Source organism: Homo sapiens, chromosome 3 (genome assembly GCF_000001405.40).
Source record: "Homo sapiens chromosome 3, GRCh38.p14 Primary Assembly".
Classification (NCBI taxonomy): Eukaryota; Metazoa; Chordata; class Mammalia; order Primates; family Hominidae; genus Homo; species Homo sapiens.
The window spans coordinates 48,736,808-48,764,414 of record NC_000003.12 but is presented as its reverse complement, the minus strand read 5'-3'; the positions used below and the strand labels follow the sequence as shown (position 1 = coordinate 48,764,414).

The 27,607-nt window shown below is 45.2% G+C and overlaps 1 protein-coding gene across 9 annotated transcripts in view, besides 2 other annotated features; it reads left to right on the top strand.

Moving 5' to 3' along the window:
• PRKAR2A (protein kinase cAMP-dependent type II regulatory subunit alpha) overlaps positions 1-19,824 on the top strand; it is a 103,284-nt gene extending 83,460 nt beyond the window's left edge. For 2 of the 9 annotated variants that reach the window (NM_001321989.2, NM_004157.4), the window contains 3 exons: positions 7,971-8,036; positions 12,098-12,239; positions 12,697-17,829. In NM_001321989.2, the coding sequence (NP_001308918.1) occupies positions 7,971-8,036; positions 12,098-12,239; positions 12,697-12,830 (342 nt within the window). In that variant the 3' untranslated portion in view covers positions 12,831-17,829. Of the gene's footprint in view, positions 1-7,970; positions 8,037-12,097; positions 12,240-12,302; positions 17,830-18,356; positions 18,439-19,647 lie in introns of those variants that run through there. The other 7 variants (XR_002959546.2, XM_011533942.4, NM_001321982.2 and 4 more) reach the window with 7 other exon arrangements.
• Positions 292-492: a silencer, noted in NCBI's record as "peak4643 fragment used in MPRA reporter construct". NCBI's record gives its function as "represses an SCP1 promoter by STARR-seq MPRAs in K562 erythroleukemia cells {active_cell/tissue: K562}" and the evidence as "EXISTENCE:reporter gene assay evidence [ECO:0000049][PMID:32103011]".
• Positions 26,780-26,869: a silencer, noted in NCBI's record as "silent region_14339". NCBI's record gives its function as "represses an Ori minimal core promoter by ATAC-STARR-seq in GM12878 lymphoblastoid cells {active_cell/tissue: GM12878}" and the evidence as "EXISTENCE:reporter gene assay evidence [ECO:0000049][PMID:35858748]".

Below are 27,607 nucleotides of genomic sequence, written 5' to 3'. Positions count from 1 at the left end.
GAACCTGGGGAAGGTTAAAGAGTTCTGTCCTCTAACTTTCTATATTTGACACAAAGGCATCCTTTTGGCTAATCTAACACAAATCAGAGTTCACAGTCTTCAGTGATTAACCAAATTTGTAAGATGTAAAGATTACTAAACAGTGGGCTAGATCATTGTAATGAGTACTGTCTGATAATTTTCTTTGTCCGCTGTGTTTGTATTTTTAATTAAACATAAATAGTATTGGACTTTTCCAGGTATAAGCTTATCTGCCTATGGTTCTGGCTCAAGAGCACGGAGAAGATACATGGTTGGTCTAGGTTGGGTGATATGCTTATCCTAGAACCCAGTACTGAGACTACGAGGAGGAAAGGCTCAGATTGGTCAGGTGTGGGTCCTGTGGGTGGAGTTGGCCCCACTAGAACACAAGGACTAATCAGACTTACCATAAAAGGGGAGAAAAAAGCTCCCTTGGAAGAGATAAAGGACTAACAAAAATATGATGTCTACTCTGAGTCACATCTCTAAATGTATTTGTTTTCTAGGAGCCGTTACTATTAATAATTCTTTTAATTAGAAATTGGAATATTCTATAAACATTTATTAAGATAGGTAGGACCAGATATGATAAGCACTATAATGAAGGAGAGTATGAACGACAGTGAGAACATAGAAATGGAAGTAATACATATGGTTTCATTGAGGAAATGCCATTTGAGATGGGCTTAAAAAACAAGTGCAATTTCAATGTTTGGGATCAGGGAAAGGTCCTTCAGAGCAAGAAAACAATATTAGCAAAGGCCAGTGGTGTGAGCTGTGTTTCAGAGCAGGTATCCTGGTATGGTAAGAATGTAGTGCTGAGATTCAGAAATGGGAGATGTTAACTGGCCACATTTGCTTCTGAACCTAAGGTGCTTTAAGTAACATTCAAAGGACCTTCAAGTCATCCTGAAGGTTCTAGGCCTGTCTCATACTGGGTTTTCAGGAAGTATGTCAGGAGATGTGAGAAGTCAATAGTGTTTTCTTCATGGTCTGTGCTCTTGAAGATAGAGTGCTATCTATCTTCAAGGTAGATAGGTAGTGGTACAGAATGGACATTAATTAAGATGATATTAAAAGGGGCTTATTGTAGGTCCCTTTTGTCAATGTCTCTCACTGGACCAAGGCTTCTCAAAGTGAGGTCCCAGGACCAGCAGCAATCAGCATCATCTGAGGATGTTAGAATTGTTAGGAATGCAAGTTCTGGAGCCCCCCACCAGACCTGCTGAATCAGAAACTACATTTTATGTTGTTTCATTTGTTTTGATCAGCTTTGTTACAGTGTATTTTACATACAATAAAATTACTAAGTTTAAGTGTACAAATCGGAAGAGTTTTGTAACCATCCCCAAGTGGTATTTCCATCACCCATACAGTTCCTTGTTTTGTATTTGCAGTCAGTACCCTCCCCCACACTCACATTCCTGGAAACCATTGATGTTTTCTGTCACTGTAGAAATTCCTTTCTACAATTTAGTATAAATGAAATCATGTAATGTATAGTCTCTGTGTCTGGCTTCTTTCTCTTAGCATAATATTTTTGAGATTTATTCGTGTTGTATGTATCAGTAGATCGTTCCTTTTTATTGCTAATAATATTTCATTGTACAAATGTAATTTTTTTTTCTTTTTGAGACGGAGTTTTCCTCTTGTTGCCCAGGCTGGAGTGCAATGGCGCAATCTCAGCTCACCATAACCTCCACCTCCCAGGTTCAAGCTATTCTCTTGCCTCAGCCTCCCATTACTTTTTCTTTTTAATGAGATACAGTCTTGCCCTGTTGCCCAAGCTGGAGTACAGTGGCATAATCTCAGCTCACTGCAACCTCTGCCTCCCAGGTTCAAGCGATTCTTGTGCCTCAGCCTCCCGAGTAGCTGGGACCAGAGGCACGTGTCACTCTGCCCAGCTAATTTTGTGCATGTGTGTGTTTTTTTAGTAGAAATGGGATTTCACCATGTTGGCCAGGCTGGCCTCCTTAGTAAATACTTAAGAGTGCAATTGCTAAATTATATTTTAACTTCATAACAAACTGTTTCTTAAAATGGCTGTACTGTCTTGTATTCCTACCAGCCATGTATGAAAATTCCAGTTTCTCTGCATTCTCACCAATAAATAGTATTTACAGCCTTTTTTAAAAAAATTACAGTCAGGGTCTTGCTATATTGCCCAGCCTGGTCTCGAACTCCTGAGCTCAAGCCATCTGCCCGCCTTGGCCTTCTAAGTGCTGGGATTATAGGTGTGCACCTCCGCACCTGGCCTTCATTTTCTTAATGGTATCTTTTGAAGAGAAAATGGTTTTAATTTTGACAAGTCCAGTTTATCATCTTTTCTTCTTTGTAGTTGTGTACTTTTGCTGCTGTATTTTAGGAAATCTTTGCAAAATCAATAATATGTTCTCCTAAGTTTACTTCTAAGACCAGCACTATTCAATAGAAATAATATGTGAGCCACATATGTAATTTTAAAAATTTTTGGTCAGGCAGGGTGGCTCACGCCTGTAATCCCAGCACTCTGGGAGGCTGAATAGCTTGAGGCAGATAACTTGAGGCCAGGAGTTCGAGACCAGCCTGGCCAACATGGCGAAACCTCGTCTCTACTAAAAAGTAATAAAAAAAATTAGCTGAGTTTGCTGGTGCACAACTGTAATCCCAGCTACTTGGGAGGTTGAAGCACGAGAATCGTTTGAACTTGGGAGGCAGAGGTTGCAGTGAGCCAAGATCATGCCACTTGCATTCTAGCCTGGGGGACAGAGCAAGACTTGGTCTCAAAAAAAATAAATAAATAAAAACTTTCAGTAGATATTTGAAATGGTGAACTTAATTTTAATATATTTCATTTAACTCAGTATATCTAAAATGTTGTTTCAACATCTAAGTGATATAAAACTTTATTAATGAGATATTTTACATTTTTAATACTGTCTTCAAAATCTAATGTATGTTTTCCATCTATAGCACATCTAAGTTTATACTAGCAACATTTCAAGTGCTCAGCCACATTTGACTCGTGGCTAATGTATTGAGCAGTACAGCTCTAGACAGTCAGAATTTTAGCTCTTACCTTAGGTCTGTGATCCATTTTGAGTTATTTTTATTGTTTTTGTTTTGTTTTTTTGAGATGGAGTCTCCCTCTGTCACCCAGGCTAGAGTGCAGTGGTGTGATCTCGGCTCACTGCAAGCTCCGCCTCCTGGGTTCACGCCATTCTCCTGCCTCAGCCTCCCAAGTAGCTGGGACTACAGGCGCCCGCCACCACGTCCGGCTAATTTTTTGTGTTTTTAGTAGAGACAGGTTTCACCGTGTTAGCCAGCATGGTCTCAGTCTCCTGACCTCGTGATCCTCCTTCCTCTGCCTCCCAAAGTGCTGGGATTACAGGTGTGAGCCACTGCACTCAGCCTTGTTTTTGTTTATTAGAAGCAAGGTCTCACTCTGTCTTTCAGGCTTCAGTACAGTGTGCAATCATAGCTCACTGCAGCCTTGAACTTCTAGGCTCAAGCAATACTCTTCCCTTAGCCTTCCAAGTAATGCCACCACACTAAGCTAATTTTTTTTTTTTTTTTTTTGAGACGGAGTTTTGCTCTTGTTGCCCAGGCCAGAGTGCAATGCCACGATCTCAGCTCACCACCACCCCCGCCTCCTGTGTTCAAGCGATTCTCCTGCCTCAGCTTCCTGAGTAGCTGGGATTACAGGCATGCACCACCATGCCCAGCTAATTTTTTTTTTTTTTTTTTTAGTAAAGACAGGGTTTCTCCATGTTGGTCAGGCTGGTCTGTGAACTCCCTACCTCAGGTGATCCGCCCACCTCAGCCTCGGCCTCCCAAAGTGCTGGGATTACAGGTGTGAGCCACTGCGCCCGGCCTACACCCAGCTAATTTTTAAATTTTTTGTAGAGACAGGGCCTCTCTATGTTGCCCATGCTGGTCTTGAACTTCTGACCTCAAGTGATCCTCCCACCTCACCTCCCAAGTAGCTAAGATTACAGGCTTGTGCCACCATACCTGACTACATTTTTGTGTTTTGTTTTGTTTTGTTTTGTTTTTTGAGACAGAGTCTTGCTCTTGTTGTCCAGGCTGGAGTGCAATGGCACAATCTCGGCTGACTACAACCTCCACCTCCCCAGTTCAGGTGATTCTTCTGCCTCAGCCTCCCGAGTAGCTGGAACTACAGGCATGCATCACCATGCCCGGCTAATTTTTTTTTATTTTTAGTAGAGAACAGGGTTTTTGCCTGTTGGCCATGCTGGTCTCAAGCTTCTGACCTCAGGTGATCTGTCCGCCTTGGCCTTCCAAAGTACTGGGATGGCGTGAGCCACCACACCTGGCCTACATTTTTGTTTTTTAATGACTTGTATAATTTTCACAAGTAATTTTCATGATTGATAGAATATTTAGCTTATTCTTAGAGTAATGTAGACAGAAGGTGGCTTTAGTTTTACAAAATCATGTTTTATGTTTTTGCTATTAAAGTACCATTGCATTAAACCAAAAAGATTCCCATATCCTGAAAATTAGGGCTTCAGTCATTCTTATGGTGGAATGTGGATCTTATATTATCTGTTGTGAAAAAGAGACATATAAGAACCTGATGACATGTTCACAAAGACCTAAAATGCAGTACAGTCTGGCTTCTTTACTGTTGAATGTAGAATGGAATGTTCTTTCTGTGAGATGTGTACACAGAGCCTATTAGTGAACTTGAAAAGCAGGATACTTGGCCGGGCGCAGTGGCTCATGCCTGTAATCCCAGCACTTAGGGAGGCCGAGGCAGGCGGATCACCTGAGGTTGGGGGTTCGAGACCAGCCTGACCAACATGGAGAAACCCTGTCTCTACTAAAAATACAAAATTAACTGAATGTGGTGGCACGTGCCTGTAAATCCCAGCTACTCAGGAGGCTGAGGCAGGAGAATCACTTGAACCCAGGAGGTAGAAGTTGTGGTGAGCCAAGATCGCGCCATTGCGCTCCAGCCTGGGCAACAAGAGTGAAACTCCGTCTCAAAAAAAAAAAAAAAAAAAGGGGCAGGATGCTCTTCCAGTGAGCTCTCTTTTCCAACTGGGTAGTCATCTCATTCTACCCTGCAAAATGACAGCAGTCCTACAAAGCCTGAACAGCCAGTATACCCAGAATATCCACCACTGGACAGCATGGAAACAGGAAATGTGTGTCTTGGCCCACACATTTAGCCTGTCCCAGCCTAACCAGGCTGTTTCATGAGATTGGAAATGCAAAAGAGTGCATCCCTTAACTGCCACAAAGATCAACTGTTTTCAGCTGATGGTTAAAATCATCAAAACATGGTTTTATTTTAAATTTTATCCCCTTGCATTGTTTCACATTATCATAATCCATTGTAGTGAAGTATTACCAAATCAGTAAAATTTAATGGACCAAAGTCCTTTCACTGTCCTTCATTTGGTCCAGAGGAAGAGGTGAACCAAGGCTTTTTGTTTCTCATGTATTCTAGATGACATTCTTTCCCATCTCCTCTCAACCCTGAATCTACCAACTACTCACGCTACCTGCTAGGGAAAGATTATTTATCCCCCAGGCTTCTGAGGAAAGTCATCCACAAAATTGGATAGTAATAGTACCTACTTTCTTAGACTTCTTTGGCAAAAAAAATGAAATGATACACATAAAGTACTCACCAGAGAGCCTGCTGGGAGTGAGCACACAGCAACATTAGCAGCTTCTATTCTATATGAGCTCCCCTGTTCATTCTCCTCAGGCCCTAAGTCATTCTTATCCTGTACACATACCCTAGTCTCTGCTGTCTTCTTCATTTTGTTTTCCTTTTCTCTTTTTTTTTTTTTTTTTTTGAGACAGTCTTGCTCTGTCGCCCAGGCTGGAGTGCAGTGGCACAATCTCGGCTTACTGCGACCTCCACCTCCTGGGTTCAAGCGATTCTCGTGCCTTAGCCTCCTGAGTAGCTGGGATTACAGGCACACACCACCACGCCTGGCTAATTTTTTGTAGTTTAGGTAGAGATGGGGTTTCGCCGCCATGTTGCCCAAGCTGGTCTCGAACTCCTGAGCTCAGGCAGTCTGCCTGCCGTGGCCTCCCAAAGTGCTAGGATTATAGGCATGAGCCACTGCACCAGGCCATTTTTTTTTCCTTTTTTCTTTTTTTCTTTTTTTTTTTTGAGATGGAGTCTGACTCTTTTGCCCAGGCTGGAGTACAGTGGTGCAACCTCGGATCACTGCAACCTCCACCTCCCAGGTTTAAGTGATTCTTGTGCCTCAGTCTCCCAAGTAGCTGGGATTACAGTTGTGCACCACCACTCCTGGCTAATTTTTGTGTATGTATGTATGTATGTATGCATGTATGTATTTTATTTATTTTTGAGACAGAGTTTCGTTCTTGTCGCCCAGGCTGGAGTGCAATGGCGTGATCTCGGCTCACTGCAACCTCTGCCTCCCGGGTTCAAGCTATTCTTCTGCCTCAGCCTCCCAAGTAGCTGGGATTACAGGCATGCATCACCACACCTGGCTAATTTTTGTATTTTTAGTAGAGATGGGGCTTCACCATGTTGGTCAGGCTGGTACCAAACTCCTGACCTCAGGTGATCCACTCACCTCAGCCTCCCAAAGTGCTGGGATTACAGGCGTGAGCCACCACACCTGGCCTGTTTTTGTATTTAGTAGAGACAAGGTTTCACCATTTTGCCCAGGCTGGTGTCGAACTCCTGGCCTCAAGCAATCCACCCCCCTCAGCCTCCCAAAGTGCTGGGATTACAGGTGTGAGCCACCGTGCCTGGCCTTTGCTGTCTTCAAAACACACGTACACTCCTTCCTTCAGTTTGTTTCTATTTTAGCTACCAGCCTAATTTCTTGCATAGCCAGAGACTTTCAAAGTGTGATCTAACAATATGGACTAAAATAAGCCAGATACAAAAAATATATGATTCCATTTATATTAAGTTAAGGAATGGCCAAAACCTACAAGGACAGAAATTAGATATAGTTACTTCATGGGTGGGAATGTGGTAGTTTTGACTGAACTCCGGAGGGAGCCTTTTGAAGAACGGATATATTTTCTATTTTGATCTAGGAGGTGGTTATACAGGTTTATACATTTGTAAAAAGTCATCAAGCCTTGAAATGTGACCACTTTAAATGGTGGATGTTATACACCTATCTAAACAAAAAGGGCTCAAGCACTATCCTTCACCACCTATCACTTGCAGATCTTTCCTACCACACAGATCTTCCCTTTTCACCACCCTCTTCTTGGTGAAGTACCTCTCCCTCTTTGTGACTCTGCCTCTGGCTCCTACTAAGTTTCTTTCATGGCTGTTCATCCTTTGTCAGCTCCTATCATGAAGCTGTTTGTGTAATGCTAGAACTTCATGGTGATTTGGCTCTGCTGGTTGTTAAGATACCTACCCAACATAGCAGGGCAGAAACCCACAGGCACCCCTTTGTAAAGCTGTGGCATTTACTCATATGGGGCAGTGATACGTCCTGGGACTAGATTAACTCAGAAACATCAGCCTAGCTGTGTATGGTGCCCACTTGGGGCTCTGTGTGATGGTCAAAGGGCATGAAGTTTGTGAAAGCCTCAGAAGTAGATTCTCAGTGAAGACAAAAGACCCACACAGAGTGAGAGTGCATGAGTAATAATGCGTTATCTGATGTAGATGGTGTTTGTTCCACAAGTTAATAGTGAGGGGTCAGAAACTGAAGTGTGCCTGAAAGCTGCTTCGCGTATATCTGCATGCCTGACTCAGACGTCCTCCCAATATTTGCTCAAATCTCACCTTCTCAAGCTCTTTTTTTTTTCCTTTTCCTAAGAGGCAAGGTCTCATTGCCTGCTCTGAATTTGTTTACTATTGATTCATTTGCAGAGTTAAAAAATAAATACAAATCAGAGCTTAAGCAGTGAAAAAGCAATCTATTTCTTTATTCCCCTTCAATACTACTTATGGCTCTGACCTGACCTCTCTTTTCTTTCAGGGTGAAAAGGCTGATAGCTTTTACATCATAGAGTCTGGCGAAGTGAGCATCTTGATTAGAAGCAGGGTGAGTTTATCAGTTTATATGTGATGGTGTACACACAAAAAGTAACTATTTGTTTTAAATAATGTGAAGTGTGTTGAATACACCAAACCATCATTGTTATGTGAGGTGTGTGACTGGCAAAGACCCATGTTTAAGCCCATTTAGTATAGATTTAGCATATTTAGATTAGATTAGATATAGATTTAGCATATTCTTATTCTTGCTCCCTTTGCCTCTGCTGTGTAATTAATGATTTAGGGAATATTGGCCTACAAATCAATAAGAAAAAGATAAAAACCCTAATAGAAAATGGGGGCTGGGGCCGGGCACAGTGGCTCACGCCTGTAATCCCAGCACTTTGGGAGGGCAAGGCGGGCGGATCACAAGATCAGGAGATTGAAACCATCCTGGCTAACACGGTGAAACCCTGTCTCTACTGAAAATACAAAAAAAATTAGCCAGGCATGGTGGCGGGCGCCTGTAGTCCCAGCTACTCAGGAGGCTGAGGCAGGAGAATGGCATGAACACCGGAGGCAGAGCTTGCAGTCAGCTGAGATCGTACCACTGCACTCCAGCCTGGGCGACAGAGCGAGACTCCGTCAAAAAAAAAAAAAAAAAAGGAAATGGGGGCTGGGCGCAATGTCTCACACCTGTAATCCTAGCACTTTGGAGGCCTAGGCAAGAGGATCTCTTGAGCCCAAGAGATTGAGGCTGCAGTGAACCGTGATTGTGCCACTGCACTCCAGCCTGGGTGACAGAGCAAGACCCTGTCTTTAAAAAAAAAAAAAAAGGAAAGAAAATAGGGAAATTATATAATAAAAAGAGATTGGAAGGGATGAACATGAAGAAAGCTTCCTTGTTAGAGCACTGTTAGAAGAGGTCTCTAGGATAACTGTGGTCATTTAATGGATGGTGTGACCTAGAAAACTGAGGAGCTGTAAGTAGGAGGAATGACTGTTACTGGTAAATCTGTCATCACCAGATTTTTCGGTTTCTTTTTTTTCTTTTTTGAGAATACAGAGTGTGTTAAAACAGTTATATATAATACTAAGTCGAGTTAATATGAAAACTTTAGCAAAATATATTGAGTAAAAGTTAATAAGTAGCCGGGCACGGTGGCTCACACCTGTAATCCCAGCACTTTAGGAGGCTGAGGCGGGCAGATCACGAGGTCAGGAGATTGAGACCATCCTGGCTAACACAGTGAAACCCTGTCTCTAATAAAAATACAAAAAATTAGCCAGGCATGGTGGCGGGCGCCTGTAGTCCCAGCTACTCGGGAGGCTAAGGCAGGAGAATGGCGTGAACCCGGGAGGCAGAGCTTGCGTGAGCTGAGATCACACCACTGTACTCCAGCCTGGGCAACAGAGCAAGACTCTGTCTCAAAAAAAAAAAAAAAAAAAGTTAATAAGTATGGAAAAAGAAGAATATTACTGTCTGTAAGATAGCTGGATTTGTTTTCTCTCTCTCTCTTTTTTTTTTTTTGAGTGAGTCTTGCTCTGTTGCCCAGGCTGGAATGCAGTGGTGCAATCTCAACTCACTGCAACCTCCAACCCCCTAGTTTCAATCGATTCTCGTGCCTCACCCTACTGAGTAGCTGAAGGTAGCTTGATTCTTTTTTATTTTAAGCTAGAGTGTCGCTCTTGTTGCCCAGGCTGGAGTGCAGTGGCGTGATCTCAGCTTACTGCAACCTCCGTCCCTGGGTTCAAGCGATTCTCCTGCCTCAGCCTCGCAAGTAGCTGGGACTATAGGCTCCCACCACCAAGCCCAGCTAATTTTTTGTACTTTTAGTAGGGACAGGGTTTCCCCATGTTGGCCAGGCTGGTCTGGAACTCCTGACCTCAGGTGATCCTCCTGCCTCTGCCTCCCAAAGTGCTGGGATTACAGGCATGAGCCACCGGCGCCCATGTGATAGCTTGATTCTTAATTAAAAGTAGATCTTTGAGACCAGCCTGACCAACATGGAGAAACCTCATCTCTACTAAAAATACAAAATTAGCCGGGCGTGGTGGCACATAGCTGTAGTCACAGCTACTCAGGAGGCTGAGGCAGGAGAATCGCTTGAACCCGGGAGGCGGAGGTTGCAGTGAGCTGAGATCGCACCATTGCACTCCAGCCTGGGCAACAAGAGCCAAACTCTGTCTCAAAAAAAAAAAAAGAAAAAAGTAGATCTGTTGTTTCAACTGAAAACAATAGTTTTGGCCTGGCATGGTGGCTCACGCTTGTAATTCCAGCACTTTGGGAGGCCGAGGCAGGCGGATCACGAGGTCAGGAGATCGAGACCATCCTGGCTAACATGGTTAAACCCCGTCTCTACTAAAAAACACAAAAAATATTAGCCAGGTGTGGTTGCGGGCACCTGTAGTCCCAGCTACTCAGGAGGCTGAGGCAGGAGAATGGCATGAGCCCAGGAGGCAGAGCTTGCAGTGAGCTGAGATCACACCACTGCACTCCAGCCTGGGCAACAGAGTGAGACTCTGCTCAAAAAAAAAAAAAAAAGAAAACAATAGTTTGAAATGTCTGTGTCATTTTACTTACAGTTTTTGGACTAGTGATGTTTGTAGATTTCTCAGATATTCATTGACACCTGCTATGATCACAGCATAGTGTTAGGTGCATAAGATCAGCAGCAGCATGGCACTGGGATATTGGGGATGGGTGGTTTGTCAGAAGTTCAGAGTCCTGGCTTTTCCCCAGATTTACTGAATCAGAATGTGCATTGCGAGAAAACCTGCGTAATACGGGAGCTGGTGTGTATGTGACAGTGTGATAAGTCCCTTCTGTTTTAGAGAAGGGACTAAGTGGGCACGAATATGGCTGCAACTCCAGAGAATACTACTGAAATTGGAAAGGGAAAGTTGGCTCAGATGAAACAGACCAACTTCAGAGCAACAGGGCAGAAGTGTAGAAGGAAGAAGGGTCAAACCGTGTAAGCTAGTGTAGCAGTTTTGTTTCTTTTAAAAATTAACCAAAAAGGAAATTATCTTTCTGCCTACAACATAAAGTGGTTCTTAGAGATTGAGACTAATTCTTACTAATAAATTCTAAACAATTATTTACTTAAATTATCACTTTGGTTAGCAGTTGGATTTGTTAAAAAAAAAAACCTCTAGATATTAATATAATGTAGTATATTATCTTAAATTTAGTTACTTAACTCTTATTTTAAAAAATGGGAGGGGGGAGTGCCTATAATCCCAGCACTTTGAGAGGCCGAGGCGGGCAGATTATGAGGTCAGCAGATGGAGACTATACTGGCGAACATGGTGAAACCCTGTCTCTGCTAAAAATACAAAAAAATTAGCCAGGCGTGGTGGCGGGCGCCTGTGGTCCCAGCTACTTGGGAGGTTGAGGCAGGAGAATGGCATGAACCTGGGAGGCAGAGCTTGAAGTGAGCGGATATTGCGCCACTGCACTCCAGCCTGGGCGACAGAGCGAGACTCCATCTCAAAAAAAAAAAAAAAAAAAAAAAAAAAAAAAAAAGGAGGAGGGAACCACTAACTTAAGGTACAAATAGTACTTAAAAAGAAATTTGTTGGCCAGGAGCAGTGAATCACTCCTGTAATCCGAGCACTTTGGGAGGCCAAGATGGGAGGATTGCTTGAGGCCAACAGTTGAAGGCTGCATGAGCTGTGATCATTCCTCTGAACTCCAGCCTTGGTGACAGAGTGAGACCCTGTCTCTTAAAAAAAAATGTGGGGGGCATGGGGGATTTTGTCACTGTAAAATGTTGTTCAAGGCGCAGTCTCAAATCAGAGAAATAGCCCAAGTTTGTGGCTCATTACCTAAGAGAAGCATTGTCCTTATTTAGACAAGATTGGGCATGTTCAGAATGGTATGGCTGTAGATTACCTTGAAAATGTTAGGACTCCGAGCTCTAGGTAAAAAGCAGACTTTTCTGATCAAACCAGACCACTGAGATTAGTCCATGGAGTTTACATGGTACAGTTAGTGAATTTTCTGCAAAGTGAATTCCTCAGTAATTGTGTAGAGTATGCTGAGAACAGTGTATGTGTGTGCAACTGGACATGCCCAGCTGTGATCCTGGAGTCAGCCTAGGTCATGTTCTTTGCCTGCTGTAGACTAAATCAAACAAGGATGGTGGGAACCAGGAGGTCGAGATTGCCCGCTGCCATAAGGGGCAGTACTTTGGAGAGCTTGCCCTGGTCACCAACAAACCCAGAGCTGCCTCAGCTTATGCAGTTGGAGATGTCAAATGCTTAGGTAAGAAAAGTTCTTTATGCATTAATATTCTTTTTCTAACATGTAATATTTTTTTCCCATCAGCAAGCCTTGACATATTCTGCCATCTTTTACTGCTGTCTAGGCCTAGGCAGTTTATGTGACCAACCAGAGATGGATGAATGGATGCTTTCAGCAAACATTTCTGAGTACTGATGACAGCCTGTGAGCAAGACAGGCATGCAGGTTCTTTAGCCGTATGAAAAGAACTGATGTCCAGGGCTGTGGGAGAATGGGGAGAACAGGAGCTGCTGGACTCTGTAAAGTCTCTAACCTGGATGACAGTCTTCTGAATTCATATAGAAACATCCCTTTTTGCAAGTGGCTGGTGTCCCAAGGCGTAATCTCATACAACATGAATGGGTATGTTTAGGAAAAGGTTTGCATGAGGGAAATGGCTTGAATTCATTCTCTCCCTCACCTCTTTTTAACAATGCAGTTATGGATGTACAAGCATTCGAGAGGCTTCTGGGGCCCTGCATGGACATCATGAAGAGGAACATCTCACACTATGAGGAACAGCTGGTGAAGATGTTTGGCTCCAGCGTGGATCTGGGCAACCTCGGGCAGTAGGTGTGCCACACCCCAGAGCCTTCTTAGTGTGACACCAAAACCTTCTGGTCAGCCACAGAACACATACAGAAAACAGACATGACAGAACTGTTCCTGCCGTTGCCGCCACTGCTGCCATTGCTGTGGTTATGGGCATTTAGAAAACTTGAAAGTCAGCACTAAAGGATGGGCAGAGGTTCAACCCACACCTCCACTTTGCTTCTGAAGGCCCATTCATTAGACCACTTGTAAAGATTACTCCAACCCAGTTTTTATATCTTTGGTTCAAAACGGCATGTCTCTCCAACAATTTAAGTGCCTGATACAAAGTCCAAAGTATAAACATGCTCCTTTCCTCTCTTGCTGCTACTCTTGCTTTTGGAAGTTACCACAGGGTCTGCAGAAACCTGTTGTATAACTGTAGACACTCTCTAATGGTTCTCAAAGGAGGAAATGTAGCCTTCAGTCTCCTCATTTGTCCTTTGAGGAAGTCCACATTTGTTCACAGTTGCAGCCTTTGGTTTTACAGTGGGAAATGGTGGTGGATGATATGGACATATGTAGCCCAGTGGCATTGTACTTTCTGCTGACAGCTGCACACATTACAGCTGTCTCCAAACCCACAGTGATGCTTAGGGAAAGACCCTGCTCAGGACCCAGCAGGTCAGCACCCCAGAGCAGACTGATAGGTCCGTGGGACCCATGTTAGAGCAGAAAATTTGGGCTCAGCACATTTTACTGTTAGTAGAGAGCCAGGAAACGTTTTCTGGGTTGGGGATTTTGTGGGATTTTTTAATTTTTTTAGTAGGTTTTGTTTAACCTCTGTGCAGTTTGTATGAATGAATTGCTATACATTTATAAGGAGCCAGGGTCTGGAGGGTTGCTATCACTTTGTCCAGCCCAAATACCTTCCTGGGCAACTCCTACCATTTGTTTGCAGTTGCCTCTACTAGCTGATGGCAGTATGCTGGAAAGAGGTTGTACTATAAAGAGAGTTCTTTCCTTCTACTCCAGAGTTGTTGTGTAGCTTTGCCATTGAACCGATCAATTTTTAAACTCTTTAAAGAAGCAGCAGCTATTTTTTTGAAATTAAAGAAAATTCTCAGGCCAGGCTCAATGGCTCATGCCTATAATTGTAGTGCTTTGGGAGGCTGAGCTGGGAGGATCGCTTAAGACCAGCCTAGGCAACAGAGTGAGATCCTGTCTCTACAAAAACAAAAATTTTTTTTTTGTTTTCTTTTTGAGACGGAGTTTCGCTCTTGTTGCCCAGGCTGGAGTGCAATGGTGCGGTCTTGGCTCACCGCAACCTCCGCCTCCCAGATTAAAGTGATTCTCCTGCCTCAACCTCCTGAGTAGCTGGGATTACAGGCATGCGCCACCATGCCGGGCGAATTTTGTATTTTTAATAGAGACAGGGTTTCTCTGTGTTGGTCAGGCTGGTCTCAAACTCCCAACCTCAGGTGATCCGCCCACCTCAGCCTCTCAGAGTGCTGGGATTACAGATGTGAGCCACTGCACCTGGCAAAAAAAAAATTTTTTTTTAATTTGTCAGGTGTGGTGATGCATGCATGTAGTCCCAAATACTTAGGAGGCTGAGGTGGAAGGATCACTTGAGCCCAGGAGGTCAAGGCAACAGTGAGCTGTGATCATGCCACTGCACTCCAGTCTGGGTGACACAGTGAGACCCTGTCTCTTAAAAAAAAAAAAAGAAAGAAAAAAAATTATTCTTTAGGTAATTTCACTTGGACATATTCATGTATATGGAGTTTGTCAGCTGACTCAGGCATTTACCCTAAAGATCAAATCTGTTTTCAAAAATTGGCATTGGCCAGGCACGGTGACCCACACCTGTAATCCCAGCACTTTGGGAGGCCGAGGCGGGCGGATCACGAGGTCAGGGGTTCAAGACCAGCCTGGCCAACATAGTGAAACCCCGTCTCTACTAAAAATACAAAAAATTAGCTGGGCATGGTGGTGGGCGCCTGTAATCCCAGCTACTTGAGAGGCTCAGGCAGGAGAATCGCTTGAACCTGGGAGTGGAGGTTGCAGTGAGCCGAGATTGCACCATTGTATTCCACCCCGGGTGACAGTGCAAGACTCCATCTCAAAAAAAAAAAAAAAATTTGGCATCATTTACAATTTCATAGAATTACTGTGAAGGCCTTTCTAGTTGAGATGTTGGGGTATTTGGGATTCTAATTGTTAACCCCAGAAGAAGGTAATTTAGCTTGTATTTATTTAAAACCCATTTAGCCTTTTACTTATATCTGGTAGAATTCCAGTGATCATCCTAATAAGGTATATTTCAGAATAATTTTTTTTTCCTTCAGAATAACTTAGAATCAGATGCTATAAGGGCTCCTAGGAGCAGTGTGAAATTTCCGTAAAGATAAATTTGAATGTTGTAACCAAGTTTATATTAAACCAAGAGGCCATTTCCAATATGATTTTTTGTTTCTTTTTAACTTGTTAAGTCCCTAAGAGATTACATGCTAGGGCTTGAGTCATTTCTATTGTAGATAATGATGGCCCACACAGTCACCTTCAACTATCCACATAAGCTAGGCTTTCCGCTTTTGCCACGGACAGTGTGACCAAGATATTTCCAGAGTAAATAACCCACCACAACCTTGGTAATTCCTCTTTTCTTCTTAAGCTCCAGGAAGCGAAAGCAGAAGGACTCTTTTCAGACTGCCCTCTGTAGCCTACATTGCAGCTTTCCAAAACAGGCAGCTAGCACTGGGAAAGCCCATGTGGTGACCCCATATTTTTCTGAGGTTCTTCTTTTCCATGGTGTTACTTTATTATCAGAAAGTAAATTCAGAAAACAGGTCTTGCCCTTAGCAGACAAGAACCACACCAGTTTCTTGTAAAGGTAACGGATACATTGGGATTCAGGAGTGACACAGAGGTCCAGCCCCAGAACTTGTAAGGATTTTGTTTGAACACTGAGCAGATGCCTCCTCCCTGCCACCCATCACACTAGTTAGGGCTGGCCATGAATTCTATGCCAGAGTCACTCCTGCAGTCTGCTAGGGATGGGCCTTCTTATCCCACTCTCGCACACATCCCAGTCTAGTCTTTGCCTTCACAGAGTCCTCCTTGACACCCCTGACTTAATGATAGTTGCTGTTTTGGAGTAGAATTGATCAGGTTTAAGTCATCCTGCTCAGGTTGGGCATAGTGGCTCATGCCTGTAATCTCAGCACTTTGGGAAGCCAAAGTGGGAGGATTGCTTGAGCCCAGGAGTTCCAAACCATCCTGGGCAACAGAGGGAGACCCTGTCTCTACCAAGAAAAAAAAAAAAAAAAAAAGTTAAAAAAACAATTAGCTGGACCTGGTGGTGCACACTCAGTAGGCTGAGGTGAAAGGATTCCTTTAACCTGGGAGACTGAAGCTGCAGTGAGCCATGATCGTGCCACTGCACTCCAGTCTGGGGGACAAAGTGGGACCCTATCTCAAAAAAAAAAAAAAAAAGTCATCCTCCTCCAACTACTGATTGACATATGGATCATCAGTTCAGACCCTCACTGCATACAGGATCCCTAGAGGGTTCTATTTAATAGCTTGAGGAAGGGAGACTTTAAAAGGACGTGTGTGAGTGAAATAGGATATAGCCATTACCACGGTGCCAGGACCTGACAGCGTTCCAATTCTTTTTGCAGCATGGGGAATCAAAGGTGGCATGCCAAGTTCAACTCAGGGCTGAGGTATCCACATTGTCCACATCAGGCAAGCCCTGCACTGACGGTTGAGCCTCATGGAGAGGAGCATGTGTTGGAAAGAGATCCCTTTGTTAACTGTTTTGTGGTGTTCTCTTCAATGAATTAGAGCTCATGCCCCTTTTCTGGCTTTGCTGTTGATTTTGGATGGTAGAGAATATTCCTGAGAGCCTTCCTTTTGGCCCCCAGCTTATGCCACCCACTCTCTTCTCTTGGTTGAATTCTCTGAAGGAAAGGTTCATGTGCTATTGTCCTGTTAGTCAATAGTCTTCATATATAATTGTGTTACATATATTGCTGTAGACTCTCAGAAATCAGGGTAGAGCTTTTCCTTTGAGCAGTTTAATGAGTGAATTCAGCAGCAAAGTCGCAAGAAATGGTTCTCCAGCCAGGAGAGGTTATGTTTATCCTCTGATTGCCCGTTTTCTCTGCACACAGTGATATCGTATTCAGTGAGAGGTGCTGTTGGCACCCAGCAGCACCCTGGGCACACAGCATTTCATGTCATGTCACAGTGTACAAGCTACCCTCTAATTCAGAAAGAAGAGCATTTTGCACAGAGAAAAATAAAAAGATCCATGAATGTCATCTTTTATCTTTTATTTTCAGTTGGCTGATGTTGGAATTTTTGTTCTTGTCATGAACTTGTAAACCAATCTTGCCAAGATACAAGTTGTTTTGGTTTTTCACTACAATGACCTCTTGTTCCTCCTGTCTTGACTGCTGACGTTCCTCAATGATTCTATTGTCTATTTTATGGGAAGCAGCCTTCCCATAGGTTTCCTTTTACACACTGCAGGGCTATCTTTATACTTTAAAAAAAAAAAAAAAAAAAAAAAAAAGGACAAGAACTGTCACTAACCTCATGGAGGGGTTTGCGTAAAACCATTTAGCCCACCTTGAGCAAAGGGTAGATTCCGTGTTGTTTTTTTAAGCTCACTGTAATAAAATAAATCTAATTCAGCATTATTGTGCTACCTCAAAGGTAAAAAATGTTTTAAGGTCTTCTTTTGGTCCTGAGTTCTATATACAGTGTTTGAAATGTCCTTCATTTGGAATTATTTTTTAAATTCTTGGAGTGAATTTTATTTTAATCTGTTTTAATCTTGTATTTTAATCTCAGAAGAATAAGTGATTGAAACGTGATCAATTCTTGCTCTGTGGTGTTAAACATATAATGAACAGTCATTAAGAATTAAGTCACTGTTTGCCATAAACAAGGTTGATGTTCTTTTTGTTGTTGTTAAGGAAACCCTAGGGCTCGGCTTTACTCTTGATTAATAAAGGCTGACAAATCATGTCTGACTTTCTGGTGCAGTCTTATGTTACGTGTTTGCCATTTTGCTTCAGGGCTCCAGGCCGTCATAGCACTCCTTTGGCAGATTCATTCTTCTGGTAGATCTGGGATTAGGGTATGAGCCCTTGAAAATTAGGGACCCCTTGTACTAGTCAGGGTTCTCCAGAGAAGCAGTCAGTAGGGTGTGTGTGTATGTGTATAAAGATTCTTTTTTTTTTTTTTTTTTTTTTTTTAGTGACAGGATCTCACTATGTTGTCCAGGCTGGTTTCAAACTCCTAGGCTCAAGCAGTCTTCCTGCCTCAGCTTCCAGCTTCCCAAAGTGCTGGAATTATAGGTGTGAGCCACTGCACCCAGCCTAAAGATTTATTATAAGGAATTGGCTCACACAGTTATGGAGGTGGGCAAGTCCCAAGATCTGCAGGGTGAATTGGCTAGCTGTAGACCCAGGAGAGCCAATGGTTTAGTTCCAGTTCAAATGTGAAGGCCTGAGATTCAGAAGAGCCAATGTTGTTGTTCTTGTCCAAAAGCCAGCAGGCTCAAGACCCAGGAAGAACCAGTGTTTCAGTTAGCGTCCAAAAGCAGGAAAAAAGACAACATCCCAGTTCAAAGGTGGGCATTCTGTCTTACTTGGGGAAGAGTTGGCCTTTTTGTTCTATTCACGCCTTCGACTGATTGGATGAGGCCCACACACATTAGGGAAGGTCATCTACTTTACTTCTATACCAAATTAAATGTTAATCTTATCCAGGCTGGGCACGATGACTCAGACCTGTAATCCCAGCACTTTGGGAGGTGGAGGTGGGCGGATCACCTGAGGTCAGGAGTTTGAGACCAGCCTGGCCAACATGGTGAAACCCAGTCTCTACTAAAAACACAAATATTAGCCAGGTATGGTGGCACATTCCTATAATCCCAGCCATTTGGAAGGCTGAGGTAGGAGAGTCACTTGAACCCAGGAGGTGGAGGTTGCAGTGAGCCGAGATTGCATCATTCCACTCACTCCAGCATGGGCGACAAGAGTGAAACTCAGTCTCAAAAAAAAAAAAAAAAAAAAAAAACCTTATCCAAAAACACCCTCACAGAAACATCTGGAATAATGTTGGATCAAATATCTGGGCACACTGTGGCCCAGTCAAGTTAACACATAAAATTAGCAATCACAACATGGTATTTGAATGGTTGTGGATGATGTGCAAGGGTATCCTGTATATCCCTTGCCAGGAAGACAAACTCACCAATGAAACCCAGCAGAGCTGGGTATGGTGGCTCACACCTGTAATCCAGGTGCTTTGGGAGGCTAAGGCAGGAGGATCATTGAAGTTTGAAACCAGCCTGGGCAACATAGTAAGACCCTGTCTCTACAAAAAATAAAAAATAGCCTGGCACGGTGTCTGAAAAAAAAAAAAAAAAAGGCTGGGTGCGGTTGCTCATGCCTATAATCCCAGGACTTTGGGAGGCTGAGGCAGGTGGATCATTTGAGGTCAGGAGTTTAAAACCAGCCTGGCCAACATGGTGAAACCCCGTCTCTACTAAAAATACAAATATTATCCAGGTGTGGTGGCGGGTGCCTGTAATCCCAACTACTCAGGAGGCTGAGGCAGGAGAATTGCTTGAACCCAGGAGGTAGAGGTTGCAGTGAACCAAGATTGCGCCACTGCACTCCAGCCTGGGCAACAGAGTGAGACTCCGTTTAAAAAAAAAAGTAGAAAACATCTGTCACTCAATATTATTTACATAATTTCCTTCTCTGTGACATGGCTATAACCAGAACTAGCAAGGATGCTGTGACAGCCCACTGTACCTACAATTTCTTTTCAGGTGACCAAAGGAAGCGCCTTGTTGCAGTTTGATCTTGCCCACATTTGGACAGAGACACCTGCCTGTACCAAAGGGCCAACTGTGGGAGCATATGAAATCTAGGACCCAAGCAACTGGTAGATGGAAATCTTGGGACTCACTAGGGCCCAATAAACTGGTAGCTGAACCCTCTAAAAACCAAAGTGTCTTTGTTTGAAAGCTTTAAAAATTAAATGTCAGCCAGGCATGGTGGCTCACTCCTGTAATCTCAGCCCTTTGGGAGGCTGAAGTGGGAGGATCGCTTGAGCCCAGGAGTTTAAGACCAGCCTGGGCAACATAGTGAAACCGCATCTCTCGCTCTTTTTTTTTTTTAAAGACAGAGTCTTGCTCTGTCGCCCAGGCTGGAGTGCAGTGACGTGATCTTGGCTCATTGCAAGCTCCACCTCCTGGGTTCATGCTATTCTCCTTGCCTCAGCCTCCCGAGTAGCCAGGACTACAGGCGCCCACCACCATGCCCGGCTAATTTTTTTTTTTTTTCAGTAGAGACAGGGTTTCACCGTGTTAGCCAGGATGGTCTCGATCATGAAACCGCATCTCTAAAAAATTTTTTTTAATTAAAAAAAAATTGTGGCTGGGCACAGTGGCTCACGCCTATAATCCCAGCTCTTAGGGAGGCAGAGGCAGGAGGATAGCTCGAGCCCAGGAGTCCGAGACCTGCCTGGGCAACGTAACGAGACCCCATTCTCCACCAAAAGGAAAAAACAAAATTGTGGTTTTGTTTTCGTGGTAGTACTGCTATGACATAAGACATTCCAGGACAATGTCAAGATCATATCATCCGTAGTCTCAGCCTTGAAGAGGGAACATTACATGAGGACTATGTTAGTGTGTCCTAACAGGAAGCTAGAAATTTGTCCCATCAAAGTTACCTGAATATATTACCTGAGTATATAGTGATAGGGAATCACTTAATTTTATAACAACAATTAAAACAGTATTAAAAAGTGGGAGGAAATTGGGGTCACTTAACAAAGCATCATATTAAGTATAAATTTTGCTTCCTTTACCCATTCTCTCTAGAGACAAATCATGGCCAGTGATACATACTGTTACCTGATTGTTTTCTGATATATAAATAAAATGTGGAGTGTTGGCCAGGTGCTGTGGCTCACGCCTGTAATCCCAGCACCTTGGGAGGCCGAGGCAGGCGGACCATGAGGGTAAGAGATCAAGACCATCCTGGCCAACGTAGTGAAACCCCGCGTCTACTAAAAATACAAAAATTAGGGCGGGCACAGTAGCTCACACCTGTAATCCCGACACATTGGAAAGCCGAGGTGGGCAGAACATGAGGTCAGGAGTTCGAGACCAGCCTGACCAACATGGTGAAACCCCGTCTCTACTGAAAATACAAAAATTAGCCGGGTGTGATGGTGTGCAGTAATTCCAGCTACTCAGGAGGCTGAGGCAGGAGAATCACTTGAACCTGGGAGGCGAAGGTTGCAGTGAGCCGAGATCGTGCTACTGCACTCCAGCCTGGGCAACAGAGCAAGACTCCATCTCAAAGAAAAAAATAAATAAAAGTACAAAAATTATCTGGGCGTGGTGGCATGCGCCTGTAGTCCCAGCTATTCGGGAGGTTGAGGCAGGAGAATCGCTTGAACCTCGGAGGCGGAGTTTTCAGTGAGCTGAGATCGTGCCACTGCACTCCAGCCTGGCAACAGAGTGAGACTCCGTCTCAAAAAAAGAAAAAAAAATGCTGAGTGTTGACCAGGAACCTACTAATCAGTTGTGAATTCAGACAAGTATTACCAAGTTCTAACTTGGAATGTTAGAAGTTAGGTCTGCCTAAGCTCATTTGTTCATTGAATAAATCCTGATGACCAGCTGTGAATGTTTCTAACCCTGTGTTTAAACCCCAAGAATTAGCAACAATAATGGTACTGAGATCTATCAGGTGATTCCTGGAGCTTTCATCCAGTGCCCGTGGAGTTTATCCTCCATGTTTCTCTCTTTTTTTTTTTTTTTTTTTTGAGTGCAGTGGCACGATCTCAGCTCACTGCAAGCTCCGCCTCCCGGGTTCAAGTGATTCTCGAGCCTCAGCCTCCCGAGTAGCTGGGATTACAGGCGTGTGCCACCATACCTGGCTAATTTTTGTATTTTTATAGAAATGGGGTTTCACCATGTTGGCCTGGCTGGTCTCAAACTCCTGACTTCAGGTGATCCGCCAGTCTCAGCCTCCCAAAGTGCTGGAATTACAGGCGTGAGCTGCCGCTCCGGGCCTGTTCCTCCACATTTCTGGACTCATGCAGATAGCAGCCCCTCTCCTATCTCAAGGATGATTATGCTTCTAGTGTCTGTTGTCCTTAGTCATGCTACTCTTTTCTCTCTGGGCTGCTGTTGTGTCTTCATAAAATGAGTAACCTAGACACGCAAGCATGTGATGTCCCTTGCTGCTCTACCTTGCATCATACAATTCTGTTTATAGAAGCATTCTGGGGGAGCAGTGAAAGGAGAACAGCTAGTTTTTTGTTTTGTTTTGTTGTATTTTGTTTTGTTTTTTGAGACAGAGTCTCACTCTGTTACCTAGGCTGGAGTGCAGTGGTGTGATCTCAGCTCACTGCAACCTCCGCCTTCCGTGTTCAAGCGATTCTCCTGCCTCAGCCTCCCAAGTAGCTGGGACTACAGGCATGCGCCACCACGCCTAGCTAAGTTTTGTATTTTTAGTAGAGACGGGGTTTCCCTATGTTGGCCAGGCTGGTCTTGAACTCCTGACCTCATGATCCGCCCTCCTTGTCCTCCCAACGTGCCGGGATTATAGGCATGAGCCACTGCGCCTGGCCAAGAACAACTAGATTTAAGATTTGAAGGACTCCCCCCAGGTAGGGACTCCTCAGAAACTGTCATCTTTTTTTTTTTTTTTTTTGAGACAGAGTTTCACTCTTGTCGCCCAGGCCAGAGTGCAGTGGCACAATCTCGGCTCATTGCAACCTCTCTGCCTCCTTAGTTCAAGTGATTGTCCTGCTTCAGCCTCCCAAGAAGCTGGGATTACAGGCACCCACCACCATGCCCAGCTAATTTTTGTATTTTTAGTAGAGACAGGGTTTCACCATGTTGGCCAGGCTGCTCTGGAACTCCTGAGCTCAAATGATTCGCCCGCCTCAGCCTCCCAAAGTGCTGGGATTGCAGGCGTGAGCCACTGCGCCCAGCCAGAAATTGTGATCTTTATGCTAGTTATTCTAAACATCATGAGAAAGTTTGGCCAGCAATGCATTTCTGGCCTCAATTGCCTTCTGTGAGGTCAGGTGCTAGGAATCAAATTTTTCTGAAGGTGTCTCTTTTTTTTTGAGACAGAGTCTCGCTCTTGTTGCCCAGGCTAGAGTGCAATGGCGTAATCTTGGCTCACTGCACTTCGCCTCCCGGGTTCAAGCAATTCTTCTGCCTCAGCCTCCTAGTGTAGCTGGAATTACAGGCATGTGCCACCACGCCCAGCTAATTTTGTATTTTTAGTAGAGACCTGAGGTGATCCGCCCGCTTCGGCCTCCCAAAATGCTGGGATTACAGGCGTGAGCCACTGCGCCCAGTTGAAGGTGTCTCTTATGTGTGAATTTTTTTTTTTTTGAGACAGTCTTACTCTGTTGCCCAGGCTGGAGTGTGCAGTGGCGTGATCTTGGCTCACTGCAACCTCCTCCGCCTCCCGGGTTCAAGCAATTCTCCCGCCTCCACCTCCCGAGTAGCTGGGATTACAGGCATGCGCCACCACGCCCAGCTAATTTTTGTATTTTTAGTAGAGATGGGGTTTCACCATGTTGGCCAGGATGGTCTCGAATCCCTGACGTCAAGTGATCCACCCATTTCGGCCTCCCAAAGTGCTGGGATTACAGGTGTGAGCCACCGCGCCCAGCCACTTACAACATTTCTAACCCTCCCTCTCACTTCTTCCCAACCAGAATCCTTGATCTTGTGGGCATTTCTTTCTGTTCTATAAAACCATTTATCTGGCATGTCTTTCAGTACACAAAGTTAGGCGTGCCCAGCCCATTTGTACACCACAGGGCAGGAGGCTAGCCAGGCTACAGTATGAGACCAGAGGATTGGCACTACCCACTAGGAAAACCAGCAGGACTCTTCACCAGTCAGTCTATGCTGATAGGCAGACAAATGCACATTTGACAGGCAGCTATTGGGGAAGGCTGCTGAAACAGAAGATACCAGCCAAATCCCCTGTAGCCTTCTTGGCCATGGGCCTACCCCTTCCTCCCTCTGCAGAACTGCACTGAGCCAGGGGACAAAGGTCACTGTGTACTCTGCTATAAGCCAGGATCCAGCAATACCCTTTCTGGCTAGGTCCTCCAACTCCCGGAAGGAGGGGAGGTGTGTGCAGTTGTTTTTTGTCTGCTAAACAGATAAAAAGGAGCTAAAATCTAGACCCACCAGATAAGCAAACCAGCACTTTAGAGTATAACATCCAGTGATGGTCAAACTGTTCACTTTCATTCTGAAACTGCTGGCGTGGGCACGAGTGGACAGCTGCAGTACACACTCCCATGTCTGCTGTGAGCTGAGTCTTGGCCTGTGGCCAGGTAGGGAGAAGGCCTTTGGGACGGGTAAGCCTGGGACGCGGGACATGCTGGAAGCACGCGTGAGTGGCAGTACTGCATTTTGCCACTTTGGCCAGCAGGGGCCGGGCTGTCCTGGAGCTCCCAGCATCCTGCCCCAGAACTGTGCAGCCGGCCCCAAGCCCAGGGTGACAAATGAGGCTGCGCGCTGGCTCAGGGCCCCCGCTGACCTTCCAAGTCTCAGCCCAGACCCCACACGAGGGGTTGTTCTCCAGGAAGCTCCAGCCTTGGTGGCACTGGGTCCCTGAGCTCTTTTCCAACCAGAGCATAGCTGGGTGGAAGAGCATGTGACCCTCAGACTCTGAGCTTGGGGCGCTGCACCTCCCTCGGGACTCAAGATGGTTCCACCTGGCTGACAGCTCCTGTCTCAGTCTAGCCAGACAAAAACGGGTTGGGACCCTCATCCTGGGCCTCCGCTTGCAGCTGTGTACGAAGATGGCAGGCTTATGGGAGGATGTCCACTCCCACTGACCCTGGCATTGCCTGAGTCCCTTGCCTACCTGGGCTGGGCCAAGACCCAACTGCAATCAATTGTCTGGGGTCCACTCGCTGCTGTGGTCTCTGCCTTTGTGCTCACCTCAAGGTTTGTATCTCTGGCTTACAGCAAAAGCAGCCCCCACCCCTAACGCAGAGCTGGCCTCACAACTGAAAACCGGGAAGGCCCTCACTTGGCACTGGGGAACTAGTTCAAGGGCCAGGTGCATGCAAGGGCATATTAAGAGTGCAGGGGTGGGGCCCACTGACACTGGGCGGGCTTCTAGCACAATGGGAATACCTCAGCTGGCCCCTCCAGCTTTGTCCTGCCTGGACGTGCTGGGGACAGGGTGTGTGTGTCCAGGATATACTAGGAACCCTCCCAACCCTGGCCTTGTGGGATCCTTTTCTTGGTAATTTTCCTGTCTTTTGTTCTGGAAAAAAAAAATCTAGGAATTATTTGCCACCAACCCCTCTCTGCATGGCCCACGTCCCAGGGCTGTGGGTGCAGCTGAGGGTCATCAGAGACCTTAGCCCCACCTCTGCCCGAGTGGGACCATTGTGTTCCCAACTCCGAGCTGAGCTGCCTGTCCAGTTCTTCAGCGCTGGAGGCCCTGGGCTGACTCCAGGCAGGAGGGAGTGGGGGTGAGCAAGAACAGCCAGCGGGTTTAAGGAATGGGCAGGAAAAGGAACCTGGAGTGCAGAAGCACCCCTCTACCTCCTCATCAGACTCTTGCCCCCTCCACCTTTGGAGGTCCTCTTTGGGGATCAGAGGCCCATCTCTGCCAGGGGCCTGAAGACCTACATCCTGGAGGTGAGGTCTGTGCTCAGCATCTCACCTGTACCCTTCATCTCCAAAACCATTGCAGTGCTTGCTGCCTGGCCCTAGAGCCCTGTCCTCCAACCTCTCGCACCTCTGCCTCCCTCAGCAATGACTTGCCATGGGTCAGAAACTCCGGTCTCCCTCTTTGCTCCCCACCATCCTCCTCTAGCTCCTGCCCCATTCTGAAACTTGCCTGTGGTTGCCATTACCCTTCCTCACCTCCCATTCTTGCCACAGCCCATGGCACAGTCCCCAGTGACTTCCGCTGACAAAACCAGTGCACATACTAGCTCTCTGGAATCCCAGCAAAATTCACTGGGATTGACTTCTCCCTCCTGCTTCAAGGACCACATTCTCAGGAATCATTCAGCCCTCCTGGTTTTCCTTCCAGCTCTTATGATCATCCTCATCTCTGTTGCCACCTTTAACTACACATAGTTAAATGTTGGAGTGACCCAAGACTGTACTCTGGGCTCTTCTCCCTCCCTCCCTCCTTAGGGAATTTTGTCAGGAACAGTGTGGCTTTGAGTGTTATCACCATGCTGCTCTCTCTGAATTTATACTTCCAGCTGGGACACTTCACCCTGAACTAGTTGTCCCACTGCTTGACATCTCCACTAAGGCTATGAAACAGCTGTCCCAAATATTGTCTTTTTTTTTTTTTTTCTTGAGATGGAGTCTCGCTGTGTTGCTCAGGCTGGAGTGCAGTGGCACGAGCTCGGCTCACTGCAACCTCCACCTCCCAGGTTCAATGGATTCTCCTACCTCAGCCTCCTGAATAGCTGGGATTACAGGTGCAGGCCACCACGTCCTGCTAATTTTGTATTTTTAGTAGAGACAGGACTTCACCATGTTGGCCAGTCTGGTCTGGAACTCCTGATCTCATGTGATCCGCCCGCCTTGGCCTCCCAAAGTGCTGGGATTGCAGGCATGAGCCACCACACCCGGCCCATCCTCTTATTTTTCATCAGTACTCCCTCTCCAGTTGTACCACCCTTCTGTCCTGAAGAAGTCTCCAACTGCCATCACCTCTAATCTGTCCACTCTCAGATCCCAACTCTTCTTTAAAATCCCTCCAGTGCTTTCCCCTCCTTGGACTTAATACTTGGCTTTAGTCCCAGTCTTAATTACCCTCTAGGATTAACAGCCAGAGTCTTATTTTTGAAATGTGACTTTTGCCACATTAGCCCTCGGCTGAGTGCTCATGTAACTTCCTTCCAGCCTTGCAAAGGCGTAAATGGTCCAGGCCAAGGCCTATCTACTGTCCCTTCACTGCAACCACTGGGAACCTTATGCAAATTTTGCTTTGCTTTTGGTTTTGTTTGTTTTTTGAGACAGAGTCTTGCTTTGTCACCCAGGCTAGAGTGCAATGGCACAGTCTCAGCTCACTGCAACCTCCATCTCCCAGATTTAAGCGATTCTCCTGCCTCAGCCTCTCGAGTAGCTGGCACTACAGGTGTGTGCCACCACACCCAGCTAATTTTTTGTATTTTTAGTAGAGACGGGGTTTCACCATTTTGGCCAGGCTGTTCTTGAACTCCTGTCCTAGTGACTCGCCTGCCTCAGCCTCCCAAAGTGCTGGGATTACAGGTGTGAGCCACCATGCCCAGCAGGTTTTGTTTTTTTAATTTAATTTTTTAAAGTGTAGGATATAACAAATACATAAAAGTACATAAAACAAAGATGTTTTGCTCAATTATTTTTCACAGACCAAACAGAAACCCAACACAGATGAAAAACATTCCCAGTGCCCTGCAGCACCCCCTTGTGGCCCACCAGTCACCCCTCCCTACCCTATCCTGAGTTTTAAGATAAGGAGGTCATCACTTCCTTGATTTTCTTAATCTTTCTGTCACCTAAGGATGCCTCTCTAAAGAATTTCTTCGTTCCTCCAGCTAAATATATACCTATAATTAATTGCATAAGAGAGAACCCATCATAACTGCTGTCCTTTAAATCTTTTATCTTTTCCTCTTTTCCTTTCCCTCCCTTCTATCACCATTTTCTGCAACCCATGTTTACAAACTGTATGTTCCCTACTTTTCTCCTGGCTTATATAATTATA